We start from the raw sequence: 16,734 nt of genomic DNA on the forward strand, positions 1-16,734 counted from the left end.
AGGGGACAGAGACAGACAGACATGGAGAGAGAGAAGAGGGAAGGAGGGAAGAGAAAGAGAGGGAGAGTAGGGGAGAGAGGAAGGAGGGGAGAAAGGAAGGAGGGGAGAGAGGAAGCGGGGAGAGACAGAGGGAGACAGCTGGCTATAGCTGCACCAGAGACCACCCGACCCTCGGCCCAGCCTTCCCCTTTCCGGTGACAGGTGTCTGTGTGAAGTTCCAGGAGCCGCCTCCCTGTGTCCCTTTGTATCTAAACAAGGACTTACCAGGATGAGGTGGAGGTGACAGGGCGCTGTAGTGCTTCCGAATGGACAGGGTGTGGAGTCAGGGTGTGTAGTCAGCAAAACACAAAAGTCACAGACATTTGCCCCTGAACTAGCGCCAGGGTGCCCCCATGAGGCCCCAGACACAAGCATCTGAGGATGGCACCTGCAGCCCGAGACCTGCCTGGGGAGCAGCAGGCGGCCCTAGAGTGGGAGACTGTCAAAACCAGAGGGACAAAGCAAGAAGTGGGCCTCCTGGGCCTCCTGGGGACCGGACTGGCCAGAGCCTGGCTGGCAGGCTCCACACCTGGAGGGGACCTGGCCCCACCAGGAGCCACCAGGCCAGACACTATCACATCTACCTGTCCACCGACTTTCCTGGTGGGACCGTGCAGGAACAGGGATCTCACAGCCAGGGACACTGAGCAAGACCCCAACTTATCCCAAACCTGCAGCTTCCAACACTCTCAGAAGAGACGTTACACCAAACACAGGCTGAGCTGGAAGACACCTGCTACAGAGACTCATCTCCTGTCACTCTGCTGGCACCGCAGCAGTAGTTATGGGGGTGCCAGCTCCAAATCAGCCTCCAGATCAAACCCAGCTCTGTGGCCTTGGGCCTTGGGCCTTGGGCAGCTCAGCCTCTCTGCGCCTTGTTTTTTCACATGCAAAAGGAGGCGATAATCACTGAGAACAGCAGTGTCTGCCCGCTGCACCTGTTGGGGTTCTGAGTACCCCCGTGTGCATGCTGCCTGTTTAACCCTCACCACTACCCTCCAAGGAAGTCGCTGTTGCTGTTCCCCTTTCCAGACGAGGAAACCACGGTTCGGAATGGCTCCGTACCTCCCTCCTATGCTGCTGTGAGACTTGAAAGAACATTGCAACGTGCAGAGCCCGGCTCCCAGCGGGCCCACAGCTGCTGCTGCTGTTTTCACAATGGCCCGGTATGGCCTCAGGGTGAGAAGAGCCTGGCCGTTTTGGAGGAGGGAGTGCAGGCAGGCAGGGCCACTCACCCTCGTCCAGGCTGCCTAGCATGGAACTGGCCTGGAAATGGGGGCTTGGGACTCCCACCCTGGGTGCCCCCAGCCCTCCAGGTGACCCGACAGCGGTGGGCACTGCCCTGAGGGCATCTCCTGGGCAGCACCGTTTCCCCCAACCTCCCTGAGCCCCTTGCTGCTGAGCGACAGCCGCCTCCCCACGGCTCCAGCACGCTTTGCTTTGATGGTGTTGCCTTAAAAATAACCAGGCTTTGACATCTGGAAGCAGGCAGCTGATGAGTCCCCTCTTCTGGGCGTTCTTATTTTAAGAGCATATTAATGTCTACGCCCCCATCTCAGCTCTAACTTTGCTGAGCTCTAACTTTCTCTCCATTTTCACCAGCCTGTGTCAGTGAGTGGGTTCCAGCCCTCCCACCACCACACGTGCCCCATCCCGGGCCACTGACCCCGCCCACCTCATAACCCCACCCCTGCGGTATAGCTTTGATCCCTGCTGACCACGCCCACCTCTTAACCCCACCTCCCACAGTTTTGCTTTGATCCCCATTGACCCCGCCCCCTCCCAGGCTCCGCCTCCTGAGGTGTTGCTTTGATCCCTGCTGACCACGCCCCCTCCCAGGCTCTGCCTCCTGATGTTGCCTTGATCCCTGCTGACCATGCTCCCTCCCGCAGTGTTGCTTTGATCTCTGCTGACCACGCCTCCCCCCAGGCTCTGCCTCCTGTGGTGTTGCTTTGAACCCTGCTGACCATGCCCCCTACCAAGCTCCATCTCCCCAGGTGTTGCTTTGATCCCTACTGACCATGCCCCCTCCCACAGTGTTGCTTTGATCTCTGCTGGCCACACTCCCCCAGGCCCTGCCACAGTGTTGCTTTGATCCCTGCTGATCCCACCCACCTCGTGGCCCTTCCGGGGTGGTGCCCCTCTGTTCTGCATTCCTGTGACTCGCCCCCATTGTAACCATGGCCCAGCGTTACTTGCATCACCCTTTCTGTGGCACCTCCCATTACGCCTAGTGCCCATCCCAGACCTCAGCACAATGCCTCCTCCACCACTATATCCAGGCTCCACCAGGGAAGGCCCATGTGGTCCTCTTGGTTCTACAGTCTTGAGGGGGCATGGATAAGGATGGAGAGGCAGGCCTTCCCAGCATGGGGACAGGGCTCCAGTCAGTGACAGATCAGTTACCCGGAACTTTTTAGTGACCAAAGGAGGAAGTGTGGTCAAGGACAGTGCCTGTGGGCCCAAACTCCCACCCAGGATGGGGAAAGACGTGAGGTAGTGTCCCCCACATTAAGCCTGGGGTTGGAAGGGGCACGGGGCAGCACGCACCCCCCACATTAAGCCCAGAGTAGGGAGGGGCATGGGGCAGCATCCCCCACATTAAGCCTGCGGTAGGTAGGGGCACGAGGCAACATCCCTGACATTAATGGCTAGAGAGGCCTGGGCTCATGACTGGGCCCTGGAGTCGGGTGCCTGGGGTCAGCTGCTGGCTCAGGACAAGTTACCAAGCCACCAGCCACCCTCCTTATCTATAAAACAGGGGCCACCATGCTGCTTCCCTCTCCAGCATGTGCAGTTCATCGTTGTCACGACACTCACCTCCTTCCTTGGGAGGGGAGTATACATTTTCTTTCCTGTGAAACATATGCGAGGCTATGTGGGCTTCCTGGAGATGAAGTGCCGGATCAGAGGGGCTGGATGTTGTCATAGTCTAGGTTCCCTTGAGAACAGAACCTGGTGTGTCAGCTTCCTACTATGTAACAAGCCACCATGAATGAAGTGGCTCAGAACCACACACACTCACTGCCTCCCTGTTTTACCAGGTTCTCTGCATAGGGGTCTCCCCAGGCTGCAGACAGGTGCTGGCCAGGCTGCATTTTCATCAGAGGCTCAACTGGGGAAGAATCAGCTTCCCAACTTCTCAGGTTGTTGCAGAATCTGCTCCTCACAGCTGTAAGTCTGGAGGTTCCAGCTGCTCGTTGGCTCCTGGAGGCCTCCTGCAGTTGCTGTCACTGGACCTCCCTAGCAAGGCCATGGAGGCTGTCAAGCCAGAGAGGAGGGTCCCTATGGCATGTGATAGACAGATGGCATCTCATGGGATGGCACGTGGCCATGGATACTGCCATCTGCTTTGCCATCCTCTATCAGTGGTGAGCTGCAGGTCTCACCCACACTCATGGGTACGGACAGCAGGAGACAGGGTCATGGGAGCCACCCTAAGTCTGCCTCCTATGCCAAGGCCACATTTCCCTGCCAGAGCTTTAGGTGAGTGCAGTCCCAAGGCAGCAAGAGTGAGGGACAGAGGGAAGAGGGGACAGAAAGCAAGTGAAGGGGCAGGTTGACAAGCTGGTCTGGCTCTCTGCCTGGTCATGCAGGACTTCTTGGCTAGTCCATGAGGGAGGAGGGCAAAGAACCCCTTGTCTTCTGCCTCCTGTTGCACAAAGTTCATCTGAGGGGGATGGGGGTAAGTCCCTGCACCGTGAGGTTGTACCGCCAGCCTCTCACACAGCTGCAGTTTCCATGTCTGCTGTGGCAGAGAGCCTCCCTGGGTCCCACTGGCCAGGCAATAGTGTGGAGTTCACAGTTTCCCCCTCGCAGGTTCAGGGGTCCAGGCATGTCCTGGGTGCACCTGGCAGCCAGCAGTATCCAAGGGTGAGTTCATGGCTGTGCCTGATACAAGTGTCATCAATTTCAGTTCCTCACACCATAGATGTCCCCTCCTCATGACTGCAGGTGGTGCCTTGCCAGGGCCTCTAGGAGGGCAGCCTACATGGCCACCACCACACCAGCCCAGCCACCTCCCTTGTTCTGGGGAGGGTTCCTTGTGCAGCACCTCTCATGTCAGGGCCACAGGGCAGCGTGGAGTCCCTGTTAGCTCAGCACCAAGTGAGGGCCTGCTTGTGGTGAGGCCTAGTTCCTGCCTGTTAACAAGGAGAGGCAGGAAAAAGTGTCCTGGGAGTCCTTGCCCTAAGATGATCCACGCTCTGGGTTGAGTTCAGGTGGTGCCTGGGGAGGTGACTAAACAGAAGAGCCCAGCAGGCAGAGCAAATGGGAGTCTTGGGCCTGGGCAAAGGTCAGGGCTAGAAATGAAGATAGGGCAGTTAGGGGAGCCAGGGGTGGTGGTGAGTCCCCAGGGGAGAATGGGCACTGTGAGAGGAGATGAGAGCCCAGGGAGAGATACCTGTGTGAGAGACAGGAGGAAGAAGAGGCAGAGAGAAGGGTGGAGAGAGACCAATGGACCTGTGGCCAAGGGAAGTGAGACCCTGAAGGTGGTGCTCGCCCCTGGCCAGGGAAGAGGATCTGAGAAGGGACTGATGTTGGCCCATCTCTTGGGGCAAGTGGAGTGGACATTTGCCCTTTCTCTTAGGAAAGTCACATAGTTTTTTATATTTATTGTAGAGTCTCAACCTCCATGTGCCTCTTGGCAGGAGGAAGGGCCTGTCTCCATCAGAGTAGATAAACCAGGTAGCCTCCATCCTGAGACTTCAAATCGGGAGCAAGAAATATGGATAGGGTAGGGTGGCAGGGAGAAGGAGCTATGAATTCTGACAGCATTAGCAGTTACAAAAACACTGAATTCCTTAGAAGGGGCAGTGACATTAATGGTGGTGGCCATAGCAGCAAGATGCAGGCCCAGAGCTGTAGCTGCCACATCCAATGCCCTCCAGAACATCTCTGCAGTGCAAGATTGAGTATTATTCCCAGCTGCTCAGGTCTGAACCCAGCTTCCCCTTCTGGAAAATCTTTGGATGACTCAAGAGTCATCATCATAATTCCTCTTCCGTTTAGAATCCAACTTGGTTTCTGTTGCTTTCAGGTCAAAACTCTGACCACTAATGGAATTTGGTACCAGAAGAGTAGGAGTAACAAACTCTAAAATGTGGAACTGGTGAAAAGCAGAAAAACTGATCTTCCATTTGACTGAATTGTCACCTATTTAAGCCTGGGCTGCATACGACATGTCTGCTGAAGCTGTAGCTCTCAGGGAAACGAGGGTGGTTTCAAGGGGCTGTGAGTTGGCTGCTTCTAATGGCTTGCAGAAGGGCTTACAGAAAGGTGAGTGGCTTGTCTAGAAATGGCCCACATATGAGCAAAGGAGAAGACAAGAGACTCAGGAGCAGCAGCAGCTATGAATGGATTGAAAACCAAATCTGTTTTCCCAAGCCTCTGTCAAGCATCCTCTGCTAAATATAGAGACAATCCAGTTGGCAAAAATCAGGCTACAGGGAGCAGAGGGGCCAGTGGGCCCACGCCTAGGAGGCTGGCATGCCTACAGTCAAAGGTTATGTCTGGTCCAGATCTTTGGCTGAGGTCATTATCCCATGACATTGACTGGACACAGCAATCTAGATGTCTGCTGAGCTTTTAAAGCAACTGCATTGGCAAAGAAACCCTGTACGTGACTGGCATCCGTCTGCAGATGCTCAGCTCTTTAGTGCCGGGCTGAGGCACTGACAGGGCTGGGACGAGGGTGGAGCCAATAGGGGTTCACCTGGGCACAAATGTAAGGGGCCTCCAAGCACTCATCCCAAGAGGAACCATTTATTCATGTCACATCTTAAAAATCAAAATTAATGAAAAATATACGATGAACAAAATATCATGGTTTCAAACAACGAGGACCAGACAAATCAGGGACTGGGGTGAGGTTAGCGAGGGGAGCCGTGCTATGCAGGACCAGGGACTGGGGTGGGGTGAGCAAGGGGAGCCGTGCTATGCAGGACCAGATCTCATCTTTAGAAGGTTAGTATTTCCTTCATCACAGATTTTCTTTTGCATTTGGTTTTTCATAATTCTGCATCAAAATATTTAATTTGATCATTGAGGTTTTTTGGTACCCCTTAAATTCTGTGCCTGAGGCCAGGGACTGCCTCACTTAACCCTTGTCCTGGTGGGCATCAGAAGGAAGCAGCCAGGCAAGCTGTACCATGCCAGGGAAGGGCGGTCTCCACGCTGCTGCCTCAGAAGGTCCTGCAGCAGTGACGGTGGAGGAAAACCCCTCAGTCCAGCCCACAGCAAGTGAGGAGCACGCTATGGGCTTCTACACAGAAGCACACAGGGAGAGGACTCTTCCATGGGATATGGTCATGTGTGCACAGGCCCCCAGGATGGTGACAGCCCCTTGCAGCCACAAAGGCAGCCTGGCAGACACGGAGGATAGTGGAGCAGAGAGAGGGAAAGGGCCCCATCCTCCATGGCCTTTCTGAGCTGCTGAACTAGCCGGGACCACCTGCCCTGAGACTCAGCTGGCGACCTGGTTTTGAGGACAGTGGTGGTGGCCTCATCATTTGCACTGGAGTCCTCTGGAGGATGCGAGGCAGGGACAGCGCTCTCCTGGAATGGCCATTTCCTGACACGCTGGGAGCTGCCTTCATTTCTTCCACTTTTTCCAAGAATATTCCTCAGAGCTGGGCTTGGTGGCTCTCGCCTGTAATCCCAGCACTTTGGGAGGCCAAGGTGGGTGGAAGACTTGAGCTCAGGAGTTTGAGACCCGCCTGGCCAATATGGAAAGACTCCGTCTCTACAAAAATTAGCTGGGCATGGTGGCGTGGGAGGCTGAGATGGGAGGATCACTTGAGCCCAGGACATCAAGGCTGCAGTAAGCCATGATCGCTCCACTGCACTCCAGCCTGGACGACAGAGGACATCTTGTCTCAAAAAAGGAAAAAAACAAAAGAGAGAGAGAGACAGCATATTCCTCAGGCTTATGAATGTGCATAGCAATGGTTCAGGAGGCTGCAGGTGTCGGTTCAGAACAGCAGACTTTTACTGAGCACCACTGGGCTCTGGGCCACATAGGGTAATGGCCATAAAGTCAACAGGACGAGCTTTTCCCTGGGGAGGTTTCAGGGTGTTCTTGGTTGTCCCAGTGGTGGGATTTCACCTGGTAATTAGCATCCAGCGAAGCTGGGTGTCCCATAATGCATGGACAAACCCCCACAGGAAAGCCGCATTCCGCATTCTGCAAAGCTTCTCAAATACTGTGGGGTTTCTGAAGGGCATTTTTGTCAGAAAAGAAAAAAACAATTTAAAAAATATAAAATAAAATACAAATACCATGGGGCATTATTGTGCATGAAAATCCTATCAGTGGCTATCTAAACCTAGATCCTCACTTCACTATACAAACAAACAGTGAGGATTTTTATAGTTTTGAAATAAGCTGGATTTTCTAGGAATGCAACTGTGATAATGTGAAATATAGCTTTAGTCTTTACCCCTGCTTCCTGTCACACAGCTCCTAAAGCCCTTGAGTCTCTGGAGTGGTGAGAGTGTCTTGTGTGTGCTCATGAGATGGCTGGGGGCTGGGAGCCCCTAGGCAGCTACAGGACGGGGCTGGTCACCCAGAGACGCCAAGGCGTGATTAGAAGGTTAGGACTTTAAGCCCCACTCCCTGACTTCTGGGGAGGGGAGAGGGAGGAGGAGCTGAAAGTTGAGTTGACCGCCAACGGCCAATGAGGTAATCAATCAGGCCTACATAATGAAGCTTCCATAAACCCCCACAAGGACTGGGTTGGGGGAACTTCTGGAAAGCTGGAGACATGGAGGTGCCTGAAGGGAGGGCATGGAAGCTCTGTAGCTCTCCCCCCGCCTCACGCTATGCATCTCTTCATCTCTATCCTTCGCAGTATCCTTTATCATAAACCAGTAAACATCAGTGAAGTGTTTCCCTGGGTTCTGTGAGCTGCTCCAGTGAATTAATCAAACCCAAGGTGGGGACTCACAAGAACCCCAACTTACAGTCAGCTGGTCAGAAGCACAGGCCACACCTGGACTTGCGCTCAGAATCTGAAGTTGGGGCTGTCTTGTGGGACTGAGCCCTCACTGTGGGACCTGACTTTAGGTAGACAGCATCAGAATTGAATTGAATTGGAGGACACCCGGCTGGTGTCCACTGCAGAATTGCTTGATGTCACCCCCACACATCTGGCATCAGAAGTGTTACATTGAGTGGTGTGTGAGAATAGGAGAAATGCTTTGTTTTGTTTTTTCCCTCGTTATATCTATTAGCAATTCACATGTAAATTGAGGAAAGATAGAACCTGCTTATTTGGACACTTCATGAAAATCGTGTCACCTGGCCTGTGCTTGGCACTTGCATCTCAGATGCACCATGCCTGCACCATCTGCACCACTGGTTCTGCCAGTGTCTGCACACTGGCATATAGAGTTTAAAAAAATCGCAACTCACTTCCATTTTTCCTTTGTATTGTAGTTAGAATATTATATCGCCTTTTAAAGTGTATTTGTGTGATAGGTTAAATCATTTACTTCATTTCAGGATTACAATCTAGTATAGAAGTAAGAAACGTATAAAAATAATGTTTAAATCAAATCAATGATTATAACATTCAATAAAGTACCATTTCCTGAGTATCTATTGTATGCCAAAGACTGTGGCAGGCACCCACGCATCCTCTAGATCTTGTAAAAGTCCCAGGAATAGGAGGGATACCATTCCTCTTCAACAAGTGAGGAGACCAAGCCTCACAGAGCACACACTGGCTGCGGGGAAGCGAAGATCCATGATTGGGTAGGCTGGACCTCAACACTGGCTCTTTTTCCCCTGGAAGTTTGACCCTCCAAACACATTTACATGTGATACAACAAAGATGTATCTACCCAGTGCAGAAATCAGACAGGAGGATGGTTTAATTAGGATTTCTCTGAGCAAACATCCCTCCTCAATGACCTGTATGGTTTGTTGAGTAAGAACACCTGACCGTTAGGTTGTCACTGAAGCAGAAGCGGTAATACATCTTCCTGTGGGAAGTCCCACCACTAAGGCTCGCCAGGGTCCTAAAATCTTACAGCCCTTGCGAATAGAGTTTCCTTTTGGATGTTTTACCTCTTCTCCCTGAACAGCTCTACCAATATTTCCAGCCAAATTAAATGCCCTCCAACTCTCTCCTGCTGCATTCTTCCCTAGGAGATGTGGACAGTCAATGTGTTGGCCCCTCCAGACCCTTCTTCAGATAAACCTGTGCCCATGGGAGGCTGCAGTACCTCCCATTTTCCTGGGCCAGCTCTTTGAGACAAACATTGTTTTCCACAAAAGAATCCTATCCCTTTAATTTTTTTTTATATTGTACATTTCTTATGTCAATTTGATCATCATAATAAAATCATTTGGGGACAACTGACAATAACGAGAGTAGAAAAACTTCGGGAGTAATGAATCATCCTGAAATTGACTGTGGCAATACTTTGCTATTTTTCCTCAAATAGTATTTGTCTTGTAAAAATAAATTGTCTTAGTTTGAAAGGAAGGAATACACACAAAACTACCTTTATGATTGGGACATGTCAAAAGAGCCCCTGGAGACGTAAGTGAGCAAGAAACCACCTCAGAAACACACAACTGGTTCTTTTTGTTCTAGCACACATTTTGCAGCTGTATTGTATGGTGCAGGCATGGTTAGGATTGCTATATCTTCTTGGTGGAGTGATCTTTTTAACATTATATCATTATGTAATGTCACTCCCTGTCTCTGATATTTTCTTTACTCTGAAGTTTACTTTATCTGATATTTATACTGTGTATACAATATTGTGTTAATTCAGTCACTCCTGCTTTCTTTAGATTAATGTTTGCATGATATATCTTTCTCCATATGCTTATTTCAACCTACCTTCTCATTATATTTGCAGTGAATTTCTTGCACATGACATATATTGGTTTTTTTAAAAATCCATTCTCCCAATCTCTGCCTTTAATTGATGTGTGCATTAGTCTGTTCTCACACTGCTATGAAGAAATACCTAAGACTGGGTAATTTATAAAGAAAAGAGGTTTAATTGACTCACAGTTCTGCATGGCTGGGAAGGCCTCAGGAAACTTACAATCAGGGTGGAAGGCACGTCTTCACGGGGTGGCAGGAGAGAGAATGAGTGTCAGCAGGGGAAATGCCAGATGCTTATAAAACCATCAGATCTCGTGAGCACTCACTCACTATCACGAGAACAGCCTGGGGGAAACTGCCCCCTCGATTCAATTACCTCCCACCGGGTCCCTCCCACGAGGGATTATAGGGGTTACAATTCAAGATGAGATTTGAGTGGGGACACAGCCAAGCTATGTCAGTGTGTTTAGATCCTTTGCATTTATGTAGCTCTAAATATGGTAGGGCTTAAGTTGGCCATATTTTTTTTTCTCCCTTTTTAACTTTCTTTTTTTTTTTTTTCTGCTTTCCTGTGAGCTATGTAAACATTTTTTAGGATTCCATTTTTATTTATCTGTAGTGTTTTTGAGTGTGTCTCTTTGTATGGGTTTTTAAGTGGTTGCTCTAGGTACTGCATTATGTATACATAACTTATCACAGGCTACTGTTGTAGTCATTTTACCATTTGAGTAAAGTATAAAAACATTACCCCCCTTTGTCCCTCTGTCATACTCCGTTTATAATGTAATTGTCTTAAATAGCTCCTTCACATACATTGAGAACCACAGAGAGTGTTACAGTTTTTGCTTCAACCGTCAAGCATAATTTAGACAATTCAAGGGGAGGAGGAAAGCCTCAGGTTCACCGTGAGCACTGTGATGGCTGTGACATGAGCCACAGTCAACTGCTGCCTGTGTATGATGGAGCACACTGGTTTGTGAACCACAACCTCATTCTATGTATGGGAAACTGAGGTTCAGAGAGGCTGAGCCACTTGTCTGAGGTCACACAGCAAAATTGACTGCGTACTTCCTATGTGCCAGGCCCTGTGCTTGCCTCTGATGCTGTGAAAATGAATGAGGCCTGTCCCCCATCTGCCCAAGAAACACATTTTCTTCCCTCTGTCAGTCCTTCAAGTAAGGGGGCAAGGAAGCTAACATTTGGGGGTCCCAATATGTGCCAAGCAGTGGGCTGGGGCATTACAAGTGGTGGCTCATGTGACTCTGAGATTCCACCATGGCTGAAATGTGCTGGCATCTGCTCATCTTTCAAGTCTGTTTGTGGCTTTTCGCTGCTTGAACCTGCCAGCCTCAGGGCGCCCATGTGTGGAGGAGACCCTAAGTGGGACCCACTCTCACCTCTGCATGACAAGCATGCTCGGGAGCGAGGAAAATATATCAGAGAGCACGCTGGAAGGGCTGGTCATATGTGCCGATTTGGTTTGGCTGTGTCCCCACCCAAATCTCATCTTGAATTGCAGCTCCCACAATTCCCACATATTGCGGGAGGGACCGGGTGGGAGATAATTGAATCATGGGGGCGGTTTCGCCCATACTATTCTCATGGTAGTGAATAAGTCTCCTGAGATCTGATGGTTTTAGAAAGGGAAACCCCTCTCTCGACTCTCATACTCTCTTGCCTGCTGCCACGTAAGACGTGCCCTTCGCCTTGTGAGGCCTCCCCAGCCACATGGAACTGTGAGTCCATTAAACCTCTTTTTCCTTATAAATTACCCAGGCTAGGGTATGTCTTTACCAGCGGTGTAAAAACGGACTAATACACATGCCCACTGCAGGGGTGGGCTTCATGGCTTCTCATCTCTCTCAGCCAGCTATTTCCGTGATGCTTAGAAATTGTCCCAATTAGGATGAACTGAGCTCAGCAAACTCTAGGAAACTCCTAAACTAATTTGAAGCCTGTAAAGTGAATCCGGTGGGATGCCTGTAACTTAGTTGATTAAGGAAGAAAATATCCTTCAGGTCTCCTTGGCCCTAAGAGGATATACACAGATCTTCTCAAATGAGTTCTCTTGGAGAGAAAACGTGATTCACAAAAATGATTTCAACACTTGTGGGGAGAACCAGGCACGAAGGAAGATGTGATGAAGTTTGTATAACTTGAGAGAGAGGAGTAGAGCTGTTATTGGTCCTAAACATAGATGAGATTTTCCTAAAACTGGTTAGAGAATCCCCAAAATGGCTGACACTCTCCGAGGACTGTCTTTAGGGCCCTGCAAAAGACATGTTCTTTGAATTCAAAAAGAAGATTTAAGCAGATGCAAGGGTCCATGGCTGAAGGATGATAGCAGAAAAGCAGAATGTCACCTGAGTCTCAGCTTTGGCTCAATGTGGTACAATACACATCCTTTGGCCCTTGCAATGCCTGCCTGCAGCAATTCAGTGCTTGTTGATTAGAAGGCTTTCCAGACGGGAGAGGCCCTGGTTTAAGCCCCTTATCTGGAAGGGGGTAATAAGTTTCAGTCTCTCATTAACCTCACAACAGAACCAAGTATCTCCTGTAAGCTGAGCCCTTTGCTTGTTACCAGGGTTGGTGATGTAGTGCCTACAGCTCAGTGGGAATGACAGATGGGGGTCATGGTGGGATCACAGTATTGTCATGGAATCCTTGGGGTGTAACTTTGCCAGCCTCTGTGGAAACCTCTGTGGTTGGTGGTACCTTCTGCTGCTGCTGCCTCTGCTCCTGCTACCGGCCCGGATCCCACGCCTGCCAATGGTGAGCCAGGCACAGAGTGGTGAGGGATGTGTGAGCGAGCGCAGAGCCATGTCCAGCCACTGCACACAGCCAGGCATGCCGACTGCTGCGGCGGGGTGGGCAGCTCCAGTGCCAACACAGGTGCTGGCTCCCTGAGAGGATGTGGCTGGACCAGATGTATCACTCTTGGCTTCCGCTGTGGACACCTGTGTCTGGACAAGGGAAACGCAGTGGTGCTGGAAGGTTGGAGACACCAGGAACCACAGAGCCCCAAAGAGGGTGTCACAGCCCTGGCCTGGGCTCCCTGAAGGGCCACAGCTCTTCTCTCCTCATCGCCCATGATGTGGACAGTTGGTGGCGGGGGGCATGTTTCAGTCCTGTTTGTGTTACAGCTCTTTCAGTCTCACCATTTGGCAGGTCCTGAGTTCTTGTCCTGTGTCCAGGAAGATACATGGAAAACTTGAGGGTGAGCAAGGCAGAGAGGAGTTTCATTAAGTGACAGAAGAGCTCTCAGGAGACCCCAGGTGAGTAGTTCCTTCCCACAGCTAGTAGTCCCAATGTCTGTGTGAGTCTGTCTGAGTCCTGGGTTTTTATGGGCTCAGAAGGGAGCAAGTGTGTGCTGATTGGTCCATGGGCAGCCATGGGTGGGCCCAGAAAAAATACAAGTTCTCACTCTGAGGGGCAGACTCTACCCAGAACTGACAGCCCAGCCCCCAGGTTTCAGGCCAGCCCTGGCTTGGAGATGGGGCTTCACCAGGGACCCACCCCTTTCCACCCAGGAGCCTGTCTGCCTTCAGCCACCATCAACCGGTCATCCACGGCACCAGGCTGTTTGTGCCGGGGGGCACCTGCAGGCCTGCGATGAGCCACCCTCAGTCCCCGCTTGACCTCCCTCTTGTGCTAGTCAGTGCCCAAGGTCCAGAAGGGGCTGAGGTGGCAAGGGGCTGGCATGGTCAGTTCTGCCCCCAGGGTAGGCACACCTGGCTGGATTGTGACAGGGCCCAGGCTCAGCCACAACTTTGCTCTGAAATTGGAGTGGATGCCAGGAACAGGGAGAGGCCAGGGAGCAGGAGCAGATACTTCCAAGCCTGTGGGCTTATGGGGGTTTTCCCGGGCCACTGACAGCACAGAGATGCCCCAGTCTGGAGCTGTGGATGGGCAGCTGCAGCTGTGCCTGGGAACATGGGGCTCCCGCTCCTTTAACTTGGTAGGGGGCGGGGCTCCCACCTGTTCCTGGCCCCCGCCAGCTCCACGCAGCCTGCAGCCATGGCTGCACCTCACCCACTGCAGCTGGAGACCCTCTGCTCCAGACAGGCTGCTACCACCATCAGTATCAGCCACCTGCTATTGTGTCCCCCAAATTCATATGTTACAGCCCTCACCTCCAGTGCACCGGTATTTGAAGGTGGGGCCTTCGGGAAGTGACTGGGTCCTGAGGGTGGTGCTGCCCTCAGGGGTGGGTTTAGTGCCTTGGAAGAATTGGAAGAGAGGGTAGAGCTCACCAGCCTCCTGGGTGAGCCCCATGCCCCTCCCCATGGCCTCCAGCCCTGCAGGGTGGCCTTGGCCACCCTTCTTCAGTCTCTCCCATCTCTCTGGGCCCAGCTGTTCTGATTTCCCTCCTTTAATGACCACAGCCCTCCTGCCACATGTCCCTTCCATGTGCTCTTCCCTGACTCAAATGTGCTTCTCTCCTCCCACCCTAGCCTTGTCCTCCAGGTAAAGGATGCTCCTAAATTCTAGCAGCAACCTCCCAACTGCCTTCTTCTGCTTCCACTTCTGTGCCACCAAATGTTCTCTCCAAAGCACACTGACTACTGAAGATTCAACCATTCCCTTTTCTGCATAGAGAGTAAAGCCCTTCACAATCAACTTGTCACCTGAGGTGGGCCATGCTCCCAGTACTAACACCATTGGCAGTTCCCTCTTGTGTCAAATCTGAGCTGGCCCTATGATGTGATGGTGGTGTTAATCCATTTCGCATTGCTATAAAAGAGTGTCTGTAACTGGATATTTTATAAAGAAAAGAGGTTTATTTGGCTGACAGTTCTGTGGGCTGTACAAGCATGGTGCTGGCATCTGCTCAGGTTCTGGTGAGGCCTCAGGAACTTAAAATCATGGCAGAAGGCAAAGGGTGAGCCGGTGTGTCACATGTGAGAGGGAGCAAGAGAGAGTAGCGGGAGATGGCAGACTCCTTTAAACAACTGGCTCTCGCATGAAAAGAATGAGAAATCACTCATTACTGTGGGGAGGGCACCAAGCCATTCATGAAGAATCCACCCTCATGATTCAAACACCTTCCCACCAGGCCCCACCTCCAATATTGGGGATCACGTTTTAACATGAGATTTGGAGGGGACAAATATCCAATCCATATCACTGGTGGAAAAGAGAGGAAGCAACACTGCACCAGCTCTGAGACCAAGCCTTAAGAAAGCATGACACATCCACTCCTGGGAGCTGGGAGGTAGCAGGTAAGAAGTCCTGCTGGAGAGACCACATGGAGAGAGGGGAGGCCCCTTTGTTACCTCAGAGCCCAGGCTACCAGCTGTTCCTACCAAGGCCCCAGACATTAAGTGAAGCCATCTTGGGTGTTCCAGCCTGTGCTGCCCACTGACTGTAGCCCCATGAGAGACCTCAACTGCAAAGACAGAAGAGCCACCCAGCTGAGCCTAGTCAAACCACAGACTCATCAGCCACTGTTGCTTTATGCCACTGAGTTTTAGTGGGGCTTGTTGCACAGCAATAGATAAGCAGAATGGGATGGAAGCCTGTTGTACCGTGGACATCTCCTTCTTCTCCTCCCCTCCCCTGGCCTTGGGCCAGATAAGCCAAACCTCAGCCCAGGCTTCTTGTGAGCTGCTCATGCCCTGTGTCTAGGCCTAGGCCATCCCAAGCTCCTGCTGCCCTCTGGCAGGAGCCTCTGCTTTTTTGGGGAGCCATGCTGCTCCCTTACTCTTGTCCCTGCTTTCTCCCCAACTCCTCTCTGCAGGAGAGTGGTGACTTTCCTGGAGGTGAGGGTGGGGTCAGGGGAACCAAGAACACCCATCCCTGGCCCTGCTGGGTCTTTACTCCTGGATCCTGCTTCTACACAGGAAAACACACTCGGTCTATGTCCCGGGGCCACGCATGCAACCCTCACCCCACACATGAACTGTGCAAAGCCCCATCCATACGTCAAAGCCCATATCATTTGCTAATTGATTCATTAATTCATTGATGTATTTATTGATTCAGTGATCACCCAACATTCCCGGAGCATTCTCTGCAGATGGCCTGTGCAGGGCTTGGATCTGACTGATCTCTGGGTCACCCACCCATCATGGAGCCTGGTACACAGCTGGCACTTGATGAATGCCAACTGTAGACTAAAGGAGGAATGTATTCTGGTGCCAGCTGGGTGCAGTGTTGCATTCAAGCTTCCTTGTGCCCACCAGAGTGTGTCCATGCCTCCCACAACTGCCTGACCCAGGGGTCTGCTCCCTGGAGGCCAGTACCCTCTCCTAGGCCAAGGCCACCCCTTCCCTCTGAGGCCTAAATCAGCTCGGACCTAACATCTGCCAGTTGGTGACCTTGGGTGGATACTTACCCTCTTTGAGACTCAGTTTCCTCATCTGTAAAATGAGGGTACAGATAAACTCTGTCTGTTTCAGAAAGGACTGAGCCAAGGAGCCCGCCTCATCAGACATCTGTGCGAGACTAGAGCAGCCAATGACTCATTTGCATAACAAGCCCTGCGGGCAATTAAATGCTTCCCAGCTGCTGGGAGGCTGCAGAGGCCAGGTCTTCAGGGCTCCTTCATCTCTTCGCATTGTTTGTTTGTGTCTGGGCTGCTGGGAACAGGAGAGGCGCGGCTATAATGGTGCTCTGAGTGCATTTGAGAGGAAGGAGAAGATGTCTGGCTGCATGCCTTTATCTAAAGTTGACCTTGACCATCTTCTTTTCAGTTGCTTTCTCCAGAGCCCTAGGCAGCCCCAAGCTACACCCTCTCCTGCAGAAGCTCTCCCAGCAGGCACTGGGTCCCCTCTTTCCTGTGTGGAGAGGGATATGGGGGCAGGAGAAGCCTTTAGCTCGTTCTCTTTTGTCTTTAGAAGAGGAGGGC

The 16,734-nt window shown here is 51.6% G+C and overlaps 2 annotated features.

The window, feature by feature from the left end:
* Positions 1,736–2,404: an enhancer, noted in NCBI's record as "NANOG-H3K4me1 hESC enhancer chr4:3838494-3839162 (GRCh37/hg19 assembly coordinates)". NCBI's record gives its function as "activates a minimal SCP1, AML or CMV promoter by ChIP-STARR-seq in naive H9 embryonic stem cells {active_cell/tissue: H9 hESC(naive)}" and the evidence as "EXISTENCE:reporter gene assay evidence [ECO:0000049][PMID:30033119]".
* Positions 15,595–16,582: an enhancer, noted in NCBI's record as "OCT4-NANOG-H3K27ac-H3K4me1 hESC enhancer chr4:3852353-3853340 (GRCh37/hg19 assembly coordinates)". NCBI's record gives its function as "activates a minimal SCP1, AML or CMV promoter by ChIP-STARR-seq in primed H9 embryonic stem cells {active_cell/tissue: H9 hESC(primed)}" and the evidence as "EXISTENCE:reporter gene assay evidence [ECO:0000049][PMID:30033119]".

The sequence above is a fragment of the Homo sapiens genome, chromosome 4 (genome assembly GCF_000001405.40).
Source record: "Homo sapiens chromosome 4, GRCh38.p14 Primary Assembly".
NCBI classification, from domain to species: domain Eukaryota; kingdom Metazoa; phylum Chordata; class Mammalia; order Primates; family Hominidae; genus Homo; species Homo sapiens.